This window comes from Homo sapiens, chromosome 9, assembly GCF_000001405.40.
Source record: "Homo sapiens chromosome 9, GRCh38.p14 Primary Assembly".
Taxonomy (NCBI): domain Eukaryota; kingdom Metazoa; phylum Chordata; class Mammalia; order Primates; family Hominidae; genus Homo; species Homo sapiens.
The window spans coordinates 17,598,076-17,615,174 of record NC_000009.12 but is presented as its reverse complement, the minus strand read 5'-3'; the positions used below and the strand labels follow the sequence as shown (position 1 = coordinate 17,615,174).

The following is a 17,099-nucleotide window of genomic DNA, read 5'->3' as shown; positions in this document are numbered from 1 at the left end:
GAAGTCAGCCTTTGATTCACCAAATTGTGCAATAAACACACAGCCGTGGGTCCTACCAGTAACTTAACACCTGGGAGTAGGCAGCACACAGCCCAAGTGTCCACAGCAGTTGGGAGGGGTCCAATGACAGAGGACTCTGAGAGCAGAGAGGACATGCTCACTCTAGTCAGGGTGTCATTGGCATCTGGGCACCTCTGTGGTTGCTGGAGGCTACAGAAGCTTGCCCCTATACCTGGAAATGCTGTCGCGGAGCCTTTTGGGTGTGGGGAAACTTGAGTCTGTGAAGGGATTTTGTATTTTTGTCCTATGCTAGTGTTTCCATCAGCCGCATCAACCTTGTAACATCTGCCCCTTTAAAGAATATGGCAGAGAAAGAGCAAAGACAAACTTCACTTGGTAGAAAAGGACAGCAGCCTCCGCAACCCACCTCTCAGCTGTAGAACTTTAGGAAATACGATCTCCCTGGGCCTCAGTTTCTCCATTCGTGAAGCAGTGATGGTAATAATAACAACAGTAGTAATATACAGCTCACAAGGTTGTCATACTACACAAGAATATACATAGCATTTACATAACACTCTCTGACACATGGAAGTTCTCATAGAATGTTGGGTGCCTGCCCTTTTCCCCCTGAGTTTGCCCTATGACAGAAAATAGCTACGCTGTCCCAATTCCAGTGCCACTAAAGATACTGACACAGATCTTTAGTGGGCCAGTCCACAGGGATCCCTGAAATCCAGCCAAGTCAATTTCCTTGACACAAGGGCTCAATCCAATCTTTCCCATTTCCTCCAAAAGAGGGATCTGGCTAGCCTAGCTATGCTAATTTCCAAATCTAAAAGGGGCAAGGATTTTTTTTTTTTTTTTTTTTTTTTTTTTCAGAAACCATGCATGTTCCCTGTCACACACACACAAATACACATATGCACAATGGCAACTTTGTCAAGACTGAGAAAGAACAGAATGCTGGTGATTTACTGAGAATGATCAGCAATTTACAGCACCTAGAAACAGTAATCAGGTTAAAGAAAGAACTTTCCATCCCAAAGAAATCTGTGAAGAAAGCATGTCCCCTCAAGTTGAAAAGATAGATAAATGGCATTTTTCCCAGAGCCTTCCCAAACAGAGCCAAATAACTGAGTGGACCCGCCAAAGAAGGAGAAGGAGACAAGAGTATAAAGGAGGCACAAAACCCTTTAGAAAGTGACCACACAAGATCTCCAGTATTGTCGTCATTCATTTGATTTACCAGGCAGCTTGCCAAATAAGGCATTGGTAATTTAGTGGCATTAAGATGAGCTTAGTCAGCCAGGAGGGAAGGGGAAAAAGGAAAGCTTTTTGTGTTGCCAAAACCAGAATAAGAATTTCCAAATGTCCGTGTGCCATAGTCAAAGCAGGGAAATGCTAAAGTGACTTTTCTGCAGGCTAGAGCATCTTGCTGGCCATTCTTCCCGTCACCTCCCATAATGAGCATTATAAAATGATCACCAGAGAGCCCAAGAGCCAAACCAAGATTTTCTCCAAACAGTAAGGCATTCCACACAAGGTCTTCACGTAACTAGAGGAAAACACATTTGTGCTTTATTTGACAAATAACAATCTCAGAGCTTAGCACTGACACCAAGGGAAGAATGTTACCTTCCTCTAGGGTGCTTAGAATTACCAAACATTCAGAATTGCAGGGAACAGACTGCTTGGGGGAGGGACAATATGTGATTTCTTGCCAAAAATATTGCCATTGTTGTTATTTATCTAAACACAATATTTTGTCATTTTAATTTTCAGCAACATCAGCTCCATATTTTATAAAGGCACGCATAGTTTTCAGCAGAGCATGGATGGCATACCACTGCTTTTTACAGAGAAAGTGGTTGAAAATTAACAACCAAAACTTTACAAATGGAAAATACTAATGTTTTGCTTCTTTAATTGAATGCATTTAACAATACTTCTACTATCTCACTGTCACTTTTCAGATTCTAGAGTACGTGGCATCAGAAAAGCAATGGTCACACTAAGAAATTACTCTTATTGAATGTTATTGTACAATAAAAGACCGTATTTAGACAGCCTAAGGTCATCAAAGCTTAGGATAAAGGTGAATCTCTGTATTCTTGCTCAAAATAAACTTGACAACAAAATGACAGCAGTAAAAAAGGAATGAAGCATTGATACACGCTACAAGATGGATAAACTGTGAAAAAAATTCAGACACTAAAGACCATATATTGTATTATTTCAGTCATACAAGAAATGACCAGAATAGACAAATCCAAAAGACAGAGGCAGAAGTACATTAGTGATAATCAGGGGCTTCTCGGAAGCAAGGTAGGCACTGTGGAAAAATGGTGAGTGACTGCTTATAGGTATGGGGTTTCTTTCCAGGTGTAAAAACGTTCCAAAATTGATTGCGGTTATGGGTGCACAAGGCTGTGAACACACTTAAAACCAATAAGTGGTTTAAACAGTACACTTTCAATAGGTGAACTGCATGGTATGTGAATTATAGCTCAGTGAGCTGCTTTTTCAAGTAAAATGAGAACACACTCCCACAATTACATACACAAGTGAAATGCATCCTCCCAGTCTCTCACACATACACACATGCACCCCTTCCTCTCCTCACCTTATTCTCAATTATACAATTTCTGGTCCTCTGTATTTCAATAGAGCTGCATTTTGCAAACTTAATGTACATAAGAATCACCTGACAACCTTGATTAAGAGCAATTATGACTCTTAGGTCTGAGATAGGGTCTGAGATTCAGCAGTTCAAGCAAGTTTCCAGATGTGGTAAGGTTAAGAGGGTTGTGTCAGTCCCACACAAAAAGAGTGTACCACATATATGGATTCAAAACATATTCTAAGTTGTAAAATCTGACCAGAGCTACTACCACAAATTCACCACAAGCCACACTCAGGCACACTCCCGGAAGGGCTTTTCCTCCCTGTTCCTCTGTGCCTTCTGTTCCTGTTCCTGTTCCTTCTGTGCACAGAACTAGAGAGAGAGGACAGACAGGCAATGCCACCCTTGAAGAGCCGGACTTTCCCCCATACAGACAGGTCACGGGCTTGCCTTCTATGCCAGCTCTGCTGCTAGGCAACCTTCCCCCAGGCACCTCCTCTCTCTGAGAATTTCCCCATATGCACAACTAGTCCCAATATTATTAGCTACTGACTTCACAAAGTCATTTTCAGGGTGAAAGAAGATGATGCACACAAAAAGAGCTTACAGAACCATAAAGCATTCTATTACTTTATGGTGGGAAAGAGTGTTGAGATAGGCAAGTTGTCATTACGATTCCCATAATGGGCACCAAAGACAAGAGGAGTTGGGCAGACCTGGGGCCAGCAAGTCCTGATGTCTCCTTCTGTTGGCACTGAAGACAGAGCCCAAGGCAATGATCACCTCTAATCTCCTCCTGACGGGGTGTAGCAAGGGCAAGGCCCCCAGAGTAAGAAGACTGCAGTGACCAAAGTTAACCAGACATATTCTGAGAGGCATTAAAAGCTTTAGTCCATGTCTCAGGGATCCACTGGCTTCTCATGAAAACAGTAATGTAAGATCATGAACTCAGTAACAGGGAGCCTCAGTTACCAGTCACAGAGTCTCAGATACATCCCATATACAGGTCACACACATCTCAAACACACCAATGCGATGACATGGAAAGTCAAGGTCTCTGATTATGCTGTAGCCAGAAGGAACTGAAGCCAATAAAGTTCTAAATGAGCTTCTCTTTCTATTAAATTGTAATGCCCCAAGGATAAGTGAAAATTTATTTCACCTTAGAATGCATTTTAGCTTCCACGAACAATTTCAACCAAAAGCAAAAATGAAAAAAAAAGAAACCAAAATGTCCTATATGTCTATCACGTACCCACGTTTACCCTATGAAATAACTTGGAAGTTACTTCATGATCATGAAAACTATAAAGTTATTCAACCTGTATATTTCCCTATAGTAAAATAATTGTTAGGCTTTATGAAATAAAAAAAACCAATGATCGATACTTCCTATTTGCAAGGTTATTATTGTATGACGTCTACTCTATGAACATCAAAAATTAAAGAAGTTCTTTACATCTGTCATGAAACAAAATCTGTCACAATGAATAACTCTCAGAGAAATATAGAAAAATCCAGTTAATTGTCAATTGAAAGAACCTTCACTAAGAAGAAATAAGGGTTTTATTTAACACTTTGGCACTCACATCTTCTCTATATTCAGACTGTAATTTTTCACTGTATTAATTTTACCATACAGAGCCTACAACCTTAAAAACGAGATTACTAAATATAAAGTATTCACCAAAAAAGCGTCCCATAACATAAGACAACTCTCATTTTGAGGGGGCACTGCCCTATTTTTTAATCACAGTTCAATTTCTGGGTCAGCAAGCTAGTTTATAGGAGAAGATATTCGCTTTTATTAAAAAAAAAACTTTAGAAAACTTGCTGTACTTCTTGAATGGCTTTGCTTAATAATTTTGTGTTAAACTTCTTCGTCAAAAAAAGGAAAATGAAAAAAATTCAACACTATTCAGCCAGGGATCCTTACACCCTGATTTTTTTAAGTATATGTTTAACAGTTGAGGGTTTCTCCAGCATTACAAAGTTCCCATTGCAGTGTGCACTCACCAATGTTAAACAATGATCTTAGTCATTCCAAGTATGTATCAACAACTTAAACCAACCTAACAATCGAACATCAGTTTTTTCTGTGTCTCTTACTAAATTGTATACTCTTTGAGAATATAACATGCCTTTAATGGCCCTAATAACCTAGAGCAGGTGCCTGTTAGACAGAACATAGTGTTCACTGAATACATAAAGAGGATCTGAGCCCTACACTAACACACAGCTCTGATCTTCAGGAAGTTCATTTGTTATCACATCCACCAACTGGGTAATTGATTAAAATGAGGAAAAGAAAGGAAGCTATCACTTACTCTACGCCAGACACTTATGTGCATTTTGCTATTTAATTCTTGCAATACCCTGAGGAAGCTAACTTTGGAGAAGATGGAACTTGCCCACAGTTGCACAGCTAGAATAAAGCTGGGCCTCCATTCAAATCCAGACTCACAGAGTTAAAACTGCACACAGGGGATATGACAATACATTGACCGATTTAGGAAAAATAGGATTTGGTGGTACCAAGGAGTCTGCCCCTAACTTAGCAAATGAGTCCTTGAGCAGTACACACTTGTATTAAAATGTTCCTCTGTTAGAGGGCCAATCGTGTGTCTGGAGCTCTCTAGGGTGGCAAAATGATTATGAGAGCCCAGGTGTGGTGTGTCTTGCTGTGGCTTCCAAGAATCTTCCAACCTACCCCCCATTATCAATGAGAGCCCAGATGCCATGAGCTGAGTAGCACATGCCCTTCTCAAGGGGGAGCCTTTGCTCAGCTGTCACTTTGCAGTATGATCTGCAACTTTCTTTTAGAGAACAAATGTTTTCCCACATTCTCAATAAATTCCCCAAAGCCGTATCAAGTACATATCTAAACGTTTCACGTTGTATATTCACAAACCTGATGTGATGTAAAGATCAATTTTTATGACCCAGAGATGTTTTGTTAAACCTTTCATTAGCTTCCCTTCTAGAGATCAGCCATACTGGGCTCACTTTCTCACTGGCTACAGCTGCAGGGAGGTGGCCCCACGGAGAGCTCCCCTGCTCACCACAGACCATCTGGCCAACTTCATGCCTCTATTCTACCTGCTTGGCTTACGCACGCATATGATTTGCAACCCCTGTACTTTTCAGAGTTTTATGGGTACAGAGACCATGACCCAAAAAGTGCTCAATGGATCTGCTTAAACACAAGAGCATCTTTGCTCTTTCCTTAAGTCTCAAACTTTCTCTGCAAAATATCCAGAAAAAAAAAAACTCTGACTACCTGGCTTCAAACTCTAATTATACCTCTTACAGACTGATCTTGGGCAAGCTATCACATCTCTGCATTTCTATTTCCTCATCTAAAAATGAGGATGCCATAAAAAACTACTTTATCGGGCTGTGAGAATTATTGTTTATTAAGTGCTCAATAATGCGGGTTACTAACATTGTCACTAGCTGGACAAAGCAGAGCCAGGACCATGCCTTCATCAGCTCTGGATCCCCCATTCCCCCAGCGGTGTGACACAGAAGCAGCAGATGCTGGGATCAGTGAAAGAGCGGATCACCTGTAAGTGAAAGTGGGTGTCCTGGATCTCTGTCCACCAAAACAGAGCTGTTTTACTCAAACATTTTTTAATTATTGTAAATGAAATGCAATGCAGCCACCTGCACTGAATTTTCTGTCTACATTCAATAAAAATAAAAAGGATTGATTAAATTGTTTCCACTTGTACGTTACAGAAAATAATTCATGTTCCCCCTACCTAATTTCAACCTCAAATCCGGTTCATAACTTCCTTGTTTTTAACCTTCAGGAATAATTTTATTAGCTTTCTGGAAACACTTATGTAAGGAGAGACAGACAGTGAAGAATCATGAAAGCATCTGCAACTCTCAAATCTCAGGGCTCTGTTCCTGATAATACTTTGCCTAGAGAATGTCAAAGCAGCTTAAAAATAACTGTGTTTAATCCATCAACACATTGTCACTTCACTGGAGAAGTATGAGTCAACAATCAAAATACTTGTTGCTTCCAACCTATGTGGATGAGGAAGAACCAAATCTGTTCATTGTATTTATCAAAGTTTCCATTAACAGATTTCTTCAGTAAGATTTGACCGTTAAGAGGAAAGTTTACACTTTGGGAGGCCAAGGCGGGCAGATCACGAGGTCAGGAGATCGAGACCATCCCGGCTAACACGGTGAAACCCTGTCTCTACTAAAAGTACAAAATTTAGCCAGGTGTGGTGGTGGGCGCCTGTAGTCCCAGATACTCGGGAGGCTGAGGCAGGAGAATGGCGTGAACCTGGGAGGCAGAGCTTGCAGTGAGCTGAGATTGTGCCACTGCACTCCAGCCTGGGCAACAGAGCAAGACTCCATCTCAAAAAAAAAAAAAAAAAAGAGGAAAGCTTACAAATTCTAAATTCAAAAAGAGATTTTATTCCTAAATATCCAGCTTCCTCACTTGTTTATATATACAAGTGCAAAACAGCCCCCCAAACACAAAGATCCCATTTTCATTTGAACAGATGAGGTAAGGTGAAGGAAAATCTTGAATTTCTTCACCATAATAAACATTTCATATAATTGTATGCCTAGCACCAAGCACAAGTATTTGGGACAGGAAAGCATTCCATAAATCATGACATGAACAGTATTTAACCCATTCATTTGAATGATCAGTTTGTGATGATACCAAGTGTCATACCATTCATTATTTTCATTTCATTTCAATCTAGGCAATTCTGCTACGGATGAAACAAAACACAATCAAAAAGGACAAGCTCTTGAACCCTGCTGGAATTTTTAGCCATTCAAAATTTGAAGAAAAAGTCAAAAATACAATTGCAGACCATACAGTATGATGTAAATATATACAGAATGTGAACAATGAACCATGTAAAAAATACTTTGGAAAAAGGTCTTAATAGGTTATTTCTACTTAATCGTTCAGCTAAATACAGCCACGTGCCGCATAGACATTTTGGTCAACGATGGCTCAAATACATGATGGTAGTCCTGTAAGATTATAAGACCTGAAAAACTCAGCTATGTCATAACTGATTAGATGATTTCATCACCACTCACTCACCAATTCACCCAGAAGCAACTTCCAGTCCTACAAGCCCCATTCATGGAAAGTGCCCTGTACAGTTATACTATTTTTAATCGTTTATACCATATTTTTACTGTATCTTTTCTACATTTAAATATGTTTCGATACACAAATGCTATGATGGTGTTATAATTACCTACAACATTCAGTATGGTAATATGCTGTACAGGTTCATTACCTTGGAGCAATGGACTACATCATATAGCCTAGGTTTGCAGCAGGCTCCACCATCTAGGTCTGTGTGATTACACTCTAGGATGTTCACACAATTATGAAATCACCTAATGATGCATTTCTCAGAATATATCCCATTGTTACCTGATGCATGACTGTATGTCATAATTTTAAGGAACTATCATAAAGTAGTCCTTTCCCCAGACACACAAACTCCCTCGATAACCGGCCTTATGAGAAGAGGAGAAAAAAAGGGCTTCAGCTAGTAAACATGCTCCTCTGAATCACTGTGTGTTTACAGGAGGGCTTGCATCTTTCCAAAGAACTTGGGTAAATCACAAGTGGGGTCTTACTTTCTACTGCTGACCGTCTATTTCTAAATTGCCACTTCACTGAAGCTGCCTGGACAAAGAGTGAAGCTAGCCAAAATACATCTTGAATTTTGTAATTTTATTTCTTGGTTGTGGTAGTTTTCAGCACTGCAGGATATGGAACAACTAACATTAAGTTTCACCTTTACTCCCCTAATTTAGCAAAGAGAAAGAAAACAGAAGGTGGCAGGCAGCTCAGGTAGTTAAAGGATATCCAGCTTCACTTCATCAGAGAACATCAAGTAAATCTGTAGAAACTTTTAAAATTGATTTTAGCCTTGTTTCCTATATCAGATCTCTCATGATGGATACAAAGAAGAAACTGAACTGGTACAGCCATGGACCATCGAAGCAAGATTAGCATCATTCATATCAATCAAAAGGGAAGGGAGATACTAGTCAAACTTTTGGATAGGCTAATGATTCCCAAGCCAGGCTGCAGCTTGGTAACACTTGGGAAGCTTCTGGTTTAATTGGCCTTGGGAGTTGTGGGGTCTGAGCGGGCATGGTGGCTTACGCCTGTAATCCCAGCACTTTAGGAGGCCAAGGCGGGCGGATCATGAGGTCAGGAGTTCAAGACCAGCCTGACCGAGATGGTGAAACCTCGTCTCTATTAAAACTCCAAAAATTAGCTGGGTGTGGTGGTGGGTGCCTGTAATCCCAGCTACTCGGGAGGCTAAGGCAGGAGAATCGCTTGAACCCAGGCGGCAGAGGTTGCAGTGAGCTGAGATCACGCCATTGCACTCCAGCCTGGGCAACAGAGTGAGACTCCATCTCAAAAACAAACAAACAAACAAACAAACCTCACGCAAGTGAAGCTGACCCCGCCGTCAAGGTTGACAAGGGTAGAATGAGACTACTTGAAAAAAATAAGCCATTAATGAAAGGGATCATGTGCTCAAGCATACCAAGCATAGAGTGTCAGAGTTCAAAAAATAACGTGTTGACTTTGATGAAACTATCAGTTCAGTTACTGCCTGGGCCCCATACAGGTGAATATGGCCACACCCATACAGGAAGGCATCCCTACTGCCTGCTCTGACACTAGCATTTTAAAGTCATTCTGGAATCATTTAGTTTGAATGTCCACAATATTGAGAGTCTTTAGGAATGTAATAGACTATGACAAATCTCACACCATGAATTTTATGACATGCAGTTTATTATGTATTTTTCACAAATCTGAAAACATATGTACACTGAACACAAACATACAAACACATTTAAATAATACACAATACAGTTGCAATGTTGGCACCAGACCCCCACACTGAGGAGCTGCCTGGGCTAAGAGAAACATCTCTGCTTGTTTTTTGCTAGCTCTCAGGTACTAGGACTATATACTGAAAGTGCTGAGCCCCTGCATGTCAGCAGCATTTCATTACCCTTTATATTTCTAGCCTCTTACCCCTATCATATACTGGTTCTCAATACATACCTGCTAGATGAATTTTTCTTGAGCACAAATGACCTCCCTGGTCATCTCAATTTCGGATGAAGTCTTCCTCTGGAAGTAGGTAAGGCTAAGCTAGTGAAAAACAGTCAGGAAGAGGATGAGTCAGTAGTGAGGGGATGTCTATTACCTGGGATTGGAAACAAAAGTAACTGTAGCCTACTGCAGTAGCTCTTGTCTGTAATGCCAGTAGTTTGGGAGGCCAAGACAAGAGGATCATTTGAGGCCAGGTGTTCAAGACAAGCCTGGGCAACACAGAAAGACCCCATCTCTACAAAAAATTTTTCTAAAAAAGTTAGCTGGGCATGGTGGTGAATGCCTGTATTCCCAGCTACTCGGGAGGCTAAGGTGAGAGGATCACTTGAGCCCAGGAAGTTGAGGTTGCAGTGAGCCATGACTGTCCCCCTGCACTCCAGTCTGGGACACAAAGACCCCATTTCAAAAAAAAAAAAAAAAATGACTTGTGAAAGAACACTAATACCTCTGTCCCTGACTCAAACTATACCAGGCTCTACCTGCAGGTCCTCGACCTACTTTTAGGGACAACTGACCTAGAGAAGTCCGGTGACCCCTTTCTCAGGAGGCCCTAGAAAGCGGGCCTAGAAGAACACACCTCCACCCTAACCCAAGGTCAGAGCTGAGCATGCCTGTTCTCAGCACCGCCCTTGAAGACCACGCCTTAGTAGATGCCAGCCCTCCAGGCTGCAGTGACATCCTCTTACCCACTAAAACTGACCTGGGTCATTACCATTCACCAAGTGCTCTGTCAGGTACTCCACTCTCTCTCTTCACAAGCACCACACCAAGACAAGTGCTTCACCCATCCTTACTTCATGCACTGGGTAACAAGGAGAAATTAAGCAGCATGGCTAAGGACAGAGAACTAACAAGTAATTGCCACTGAGCCTCAATCCCAAACCTCTGTCCCTAAAGGCTCTTTGCAGCACATGCCAGTAACAACAGCAATAACAAAGCAATAACAAACGGCTAAGATTCATGTGTTACTTACTGTGTGAAAATACTATGCTAAGCACCTAAAATGCATTCACTCAGTTAATCCCCATAACAACCTCATAGGATACTGACATTATTCCCATTTTATACATTCAGAAACAGGTTTAGAAAAGTTAACGGTCTGTGTGGACTTGGCGAGTAAGCAGCAGAGCAGAGTGGAGCCCAGGCAGCAGAGTCCAGTGTCCAGCTCTTGCTGCACTTTGCACAGCCTCTCCAGGAAACTGAAGGAAGAAGCCCACGCAGGAGGGGGTAAATACCTCACTTCTGAGACCCAGTTTTCTCACGTATGAAGTGAAAGTGTTGGAGCAGATGACAGGTCTAAGGACCCTTCCCACCAGCAGTTTTGTAACAAGCGTAGGACCAGGGCAGCCAAACCCCACCATGACCAGAAACTAAAAACAACATATCGGAGACTGACTCACCCTTTTTTCTATTTTTTAACTTTTATTTGTAGTAAAATATATGTAACATAAAATTTACCATCTTAACTTGTAAGTGTATATATAATTCAGTGGCATAAGTTTATTCATGGTTGCTTTTGTTTGTTTCTTTTTTGACACGGAGTTTCGCTCTTGTTGCCCAGGCTGGAGTGCAATGGCACGATCTCAGCTCACCACACCACAACCTCCGCCTCCCGGGTTCAAATGATTCTCCTGTCTCAGCCTCCCGAGTAGCTGGGATTACAGGCATGCACCACCACACTCGGCTAATTTTGTATTTCTAATAGAGATGGGGTTTCTCCATGTTGGCCAGGCTGGTCTCGAACCCCTGACCTCAGGTGACCCATGGGCTTTGACCTCCCAAAGTGCTGGGATTACAGGAGTGAGCCACCACGCCCAGCCGTGTATTCATGTTTTATGCAACCATCACCACCGTCCATCTCTAGAACTCTTTCCATCTCTCCCATCTGAAACTCTGTACCCGTTACACAACTCCCCAGTTGCCCTCCCCTCTCAACCACTGTTCTACTTTCTGTCTATGAATTTGACTACTCTAGGTACCTTATAAGTGGGATCACAGAGTCTTTGGCTTTTTATTTCTGTGTTATTTAACTTAGCTTAATGTCCTTACAGCTCATCCATGGTGTAGCATGTGGCAGGATCTACCATATTTTGTTTATCTATTTATCTCTCCACAGACACTTGGGTTGCTCCCACCTCTTGACTATGGTCAATAATGCTGCAAGGAACATTGGCATACAAATAATGCTGGCTTTTTAATAAGACAAATTGATCCAAAATATGTTCAAAAACATATTTTAACATATCAGGATATTTCTCATAAATAAAACTCTTTGCTGCTCTGGAATTAAGGTGACCTCTCCAACACAGACCAAAAGACTCAGTGGCATGTCCTCAGAATCAGTCCCACAGAATGTGCACACACAGCACTGTTCCATGACTGGGCCCAAGCTCCTGTTGTAAATGTGGCTCTTTGCTACAACTAAAGTAAAAACATGCTACCTAAAGAAATTAATCTCAAGTAAAGTACCACAATGAGGAAGATTTTAATGAACTTTGCAGGGGATTTAAGATGGATTTTTCTTGATAGCACATCAATGTCTACAATAATTGTAGGATTTCTTTAAGCATCCTGCAGTTAAACATTAAAAAGAGAATGTTTCAGTGATAGAAGTCCTTGTTATTCTCACCTACAAGAAATGTTTTCATTTTGGTGCATGTTTCCTACCTTATTCCCACTCCATCTTCCCCAAAAATGGAGAAATAAAGAGGAAAATTTGACAATCAACTGTCTTGTTAGCGTTTTGTTTATAATCCTTCTTTTGCAAATCAATAATATTAAAGTTTTTTTATACTGCCAGGTCTACATGGGATCCGGTTACTCCTCATTTGAGGGGTCAAGAGTCACCTGGAAGGTCTGTTCTACAGTGACAGCCATTAGACCTGCCAATCTCCTGGAGATGGGGGTGAAAGAGGCAAGGTGGCTGGTGGCCTCTGCATTGGGGTATGATACAAAACACTTAGAAAGAGGAAAGCAAAAGTCTTTTTTAAAAATGTTCAAAACAGAAGAGCTCAGAAAACAACAATTAAACTGACAATGAACTGACTGGGTTTTCATGGAGGATGGGAGCCCAGCAGCTATCATTACTTTCGCCTTTTGGACAGAATCAAATCCAATACAGCCCAGCAGCCCCATTTCAAGCTGTGATCCCAAAAATAAAGATCATTTCTGTCTCTCCCTACTCTGATCCTGAGGAAGGTGTTGAAATGCCACGAGCATCCTGCCTTGGGTCCAAAAGAGAACTTTAAAGACGTCTGATTGTCACTCTTCAGTCTTTTCTTCTTTTAAGTCATAGAACCCAATAAATAGAGCTGTTTCTGTGGTTTTCAGAAGGTGGGAGAGACAGTCGGGAAGGAAGAGTTAAGTTTCATGAAGTTCAACCAGAAGGCTTTCTGCAATGCCCTTAAAATGCTTTCCATATATGAACAATCTATAAGATTCCCAGCCCCAAAGTACAATCCATGACTCCCAAGCTTGACCATTTCTCTTTCATACTACCAGAATTGTAATTACTTTTACCTATTTGGCAGCATCAAACCCACCACAGACAGATGAAGATTTCCCACCAATAGGATTCTCTTCCCCAGTGACCATACCCCAAGTTTTTGGGACACAACAAGTCACCAACAAAAGTGTACCAACTCAAAATGACCTAAAACGTACTTCAGCTCTATTTAAGCATTCCAGAGAACTTGAAAATTAACAATGTTATTGAACCACTCACTGGCTTCCTCTGCTATCCCTACAAAAAATTTAACTACTGTCATGGTTTGTTTCAATATATAACTTCACCTTTTCTGAAGCTTACATGGGAAGATGATTTGATTTTTATGACTAAAAAGATATTTTACAAAGGACAAAAGGAAATTATGCACATAGTTACTAAATAAAAGAAACCCACTCCTATGAATCCAGAGAACCAAACTGCAGAGGCACGCACAAACACACAGTTAATCCAGCCTTCATCCTTTAAAGAAAAACCACCAAAAACGGAAACATGAGTCATGAATTACACTCAACTATTTCATGGAAAGCAGCAAGCTGCTTCTAAGTCTAAAAATACCCTCTCAACATTAAGCCCTGTGTTTATTTTTTCCACCTTTCACCCATCTTGCTGTATGTCCTTTAGTAAAAAAAAAAATTGATTCCAAAAAAAGAAAAAGAAAAACAACGGTATCTCTTAAGACAACCTGGGCTTCAGCAACCAAAAAGAAATGACCATGTGCAGGTCAGGCACAGCCACCACGTGACCTATTAGGTGAAGACGTTGAGCACTGCAAAAAAGCTGTAGAAACACCACCACACATGAGGCACCCAGGGAAAAGCTTGGTAGTGCACATACACAATGGTTAAGAATGCTGAGGGACACACTGACCAAGGGAGGGGATCACAGTGATTGTCACTGAGCTAATGGATAACAACAAAAATTGCAGAAAAAAATTTAGAGATCCATTACCTACTGCAGCTCCAAAATTCATTAAGGTTGCCATATTCTAAACTCTAAACTCTAAATTCACATGGTATTTTTCACCTACATAAATAACATATCTCTTTCTCCCCTCTGCTCTGTCTTCCAACAATTTCTCACCTCAGACAATGAGTAAAGAGTTTTTAAAAATACCAAACATGTTCCCACACTGTGGATCAGCATGAAACTAATCTTTAAAGTCCATTCCCCACAAAAACTAAAGTAGTACAACATATACATTGAACCAGTTAGCATGTTCAATATTAAAAACTGTTTGTAGTTCTGAAATCAGCATAGCTCCAGTAACTAAGAGCAACAGATACCTTAAACTAGGATGGAAATAGCATTCCATAAATATATCATCAGCAACATTATGCAGCTGAATGATCCCTGTCTACAGTGTGTGTAGGGATGCTCCATAATTAAAGCTTTATTAAAACTGTTCTCTGAAGATCTAACTGAGAAAACATCAGAATCGGAGCCAGCTGTGCTGTTTAACCGTCTCCCTGAGAAAGGCTTGTGTGGAGGTGGGTTATTTGAAATTCTCCCTTCGACATTACATTCCTGTCTTTGACATCTTGATTTTTTTCTCCTTTGTCTTAGTTTCTCCTACCTTTTAAGGCTGAAGAACATAGGACATTTAATTAATAATCAAACAGTTTAAGAACATTGATGCTTAAGAGGCTGTGTTTCTATCAAACATTAATCCAGTTCATCCAGGAAGGCTTTGTGCTGTAGAATAAACTCCAGCGTTCATGTAATTTTAATGAAAATGCTTCTGCACCCAGGTACTTTTTTGTGTCTAAACTGCTGTTCAGTACCCTGAATATTTCAAACATCCCAACTACAGTGGCTAGGAAAGCCAAACGCAGGAAGAGCATGTATAGGAGCCCAAAATAAGTGTTATAAGAATTTAAATACAAAATGACAAAGTGTCCTAATTTTATATTTCATAAGCAAAATAACTGTTCAGATTAGAAAAAAAAAAAAGATAGGCAGTCTTAGATATTTATTCCCGTTTCCTGGATGGGTTTATTATCAATAGGTATATATTCACCGTTTATATTTTTTAAAGGAAATATCAAAAAAAATTTTAAGAAAAAGAAAACGTTTGAAAGCCCACATCTAGAGATAATTAACATTGTGACCCTAGTTCCAAATCACCACCCATCCAAAAGAACATACACAGGCCACACCCACAATTTTACATATGGGTTCATGCTACAAATGCCTGGCTAGAATCTGTCCCCCAACCGTAAGCACGTCAAAGAAAGGTTTCCATGTGAATGTAGATCACATCATTTGCCTCATAAAACTCCATCATATGACTGGACCAATATTTCACTACCATTAACACAGCAATAAATTTTGAACATACATCTTTGCACATCCCCAATTATCCTACTTGTGATAAATTTCAAGAAGTACCTTAATCAAAGGGAATCTGCATATTGACACATATTGCCTAACTGGATCCCAGAAAGAAGAACCTGCTGGAAATACAGTGCCATTTGGCACTGTACCCTTGCCAAGGCTGGGTTTTGTAAATTTTATTTTTATTTGTATGCTGCAAATCTTAATCCCATTAGTCACTTCAACCATCTTTAGGATCCTTTGCTACTCAGCAGTTCTTCATTTTTACAAGTAGCAAAAATTCACCAGCCTTCATCCATAGTGCACAGTCTCTGCATGATATGTTATGTTTAGAAAGTATTCCCCATTTCAAAAGAAACCATATTTTCTTTTTACACTCTTTTACCTTCATATTTTCCAACTAGTTAAAATTTATTTTAAGATGTGACAAAAAGGATTAAATTTTATTTCTCAAACGAATAGCTAATTGTCCAAATGCCATTTACTAAATAATCTATTCTTTTTTGATGATTTTAAATACTGCCTTTATTGTATACCAAATCACCACAATGTACTACTTATTGCTGGACTTTCCATTTTGTTCCATTGACCAATTAAATAATTAAATGATTCATTTAAAGTCTATTCCAACTTTGAAAGGATGGACTGCCAGTGTCAAACTCTGCCTCCACCATTAATACCGTGTATTATTTTGGATGAGTCACTACACTTCCCTGTGCCTTAGTTTCCTCATCAGTAAAATGGGCATAATGGTAACTACCCCAAGAGATCAGCAGAAACTTGATCCCTCCCTTCAGGAATTTAGAGACCAACTGAAGGAGACAGGCATTTAATCGAATGGCCATAAAATTAATGCACAATCACAAACCATGGTGAATGTAATAAAAGGAACCTGATCCAACCTACTAGGTCAGAGAAAGGGATTCCAATAAGTATCATCTGGATCAAGGCCTAAAGGATGAGTGGGAGTGGACTAGCTCCCAGATGACATGAAGTGGGCAGGTCGGGGGGTGGGCTCAAACCCCTTGGCCCGCAACTCTGCAAAGGCCTGGTTTCTTCTCAGCCTCAATTTCTCAGTTTAAAGACGCATCCTCAGGGAAACACTGCATGACCACACATTTCTGTGAGACAGAGTTATGATCTTTGGTAAGAAAGATAATGATGTAAAATCATATCATACAATCTTATTTAACAGAAACTATTCCAGCTGGAGATGTTCCATGACCCTAGCTTCAGTAAGACATGAGAAGTAGTTCTTTACCCTCAAGGCTATCCTCTCTGAATAAGAATCTAAAGTGTCTGTGAAACCATAACCTGCTCTTTTTTATGTGCAAATAGTAGTACCCTGTTCACTTTTTGAATGACGTCAGCTGGTGAGAGCTTCCCCAGCTGCACCTCATAGACAACCTTAACCTTTCTACATACTGAAAAGAACATGGCCTCTCTCCACAACAGAATGTCAGGTATGACCTCCACGTGAG

General features: G+C 40.4%; 1 protein-coding gene across 2 annotated transcripts in view; it reads right to left on the bottom strand.

Annotated features, from left to right (window-relative positions):
* The window catches only part of SH3GL2 (SH3 domain containing GRB2 like 2, endophilin A1), a 218,059-nt gene that overhangs the window by 181,950 nt on the left and 19,010 nt on the right, over positions 1-17,099 (bottom strand). The window contains exon 1 of one of the 2 annotated variants that reach the window (XM_047423730.1): positions 7,921-7,941. The exons of the other annotated variant lie outside the window; for it this stretch is intronic. The gene's annotated coding sequence lies outside the window, so the exon portion shown is untranslated. Of the gene's footprint in view, positions 1-7,920; positions 7,942-17,099 lie in introns of those variants that run through there. 2 annotated transcript variants of the gene reach the window in all.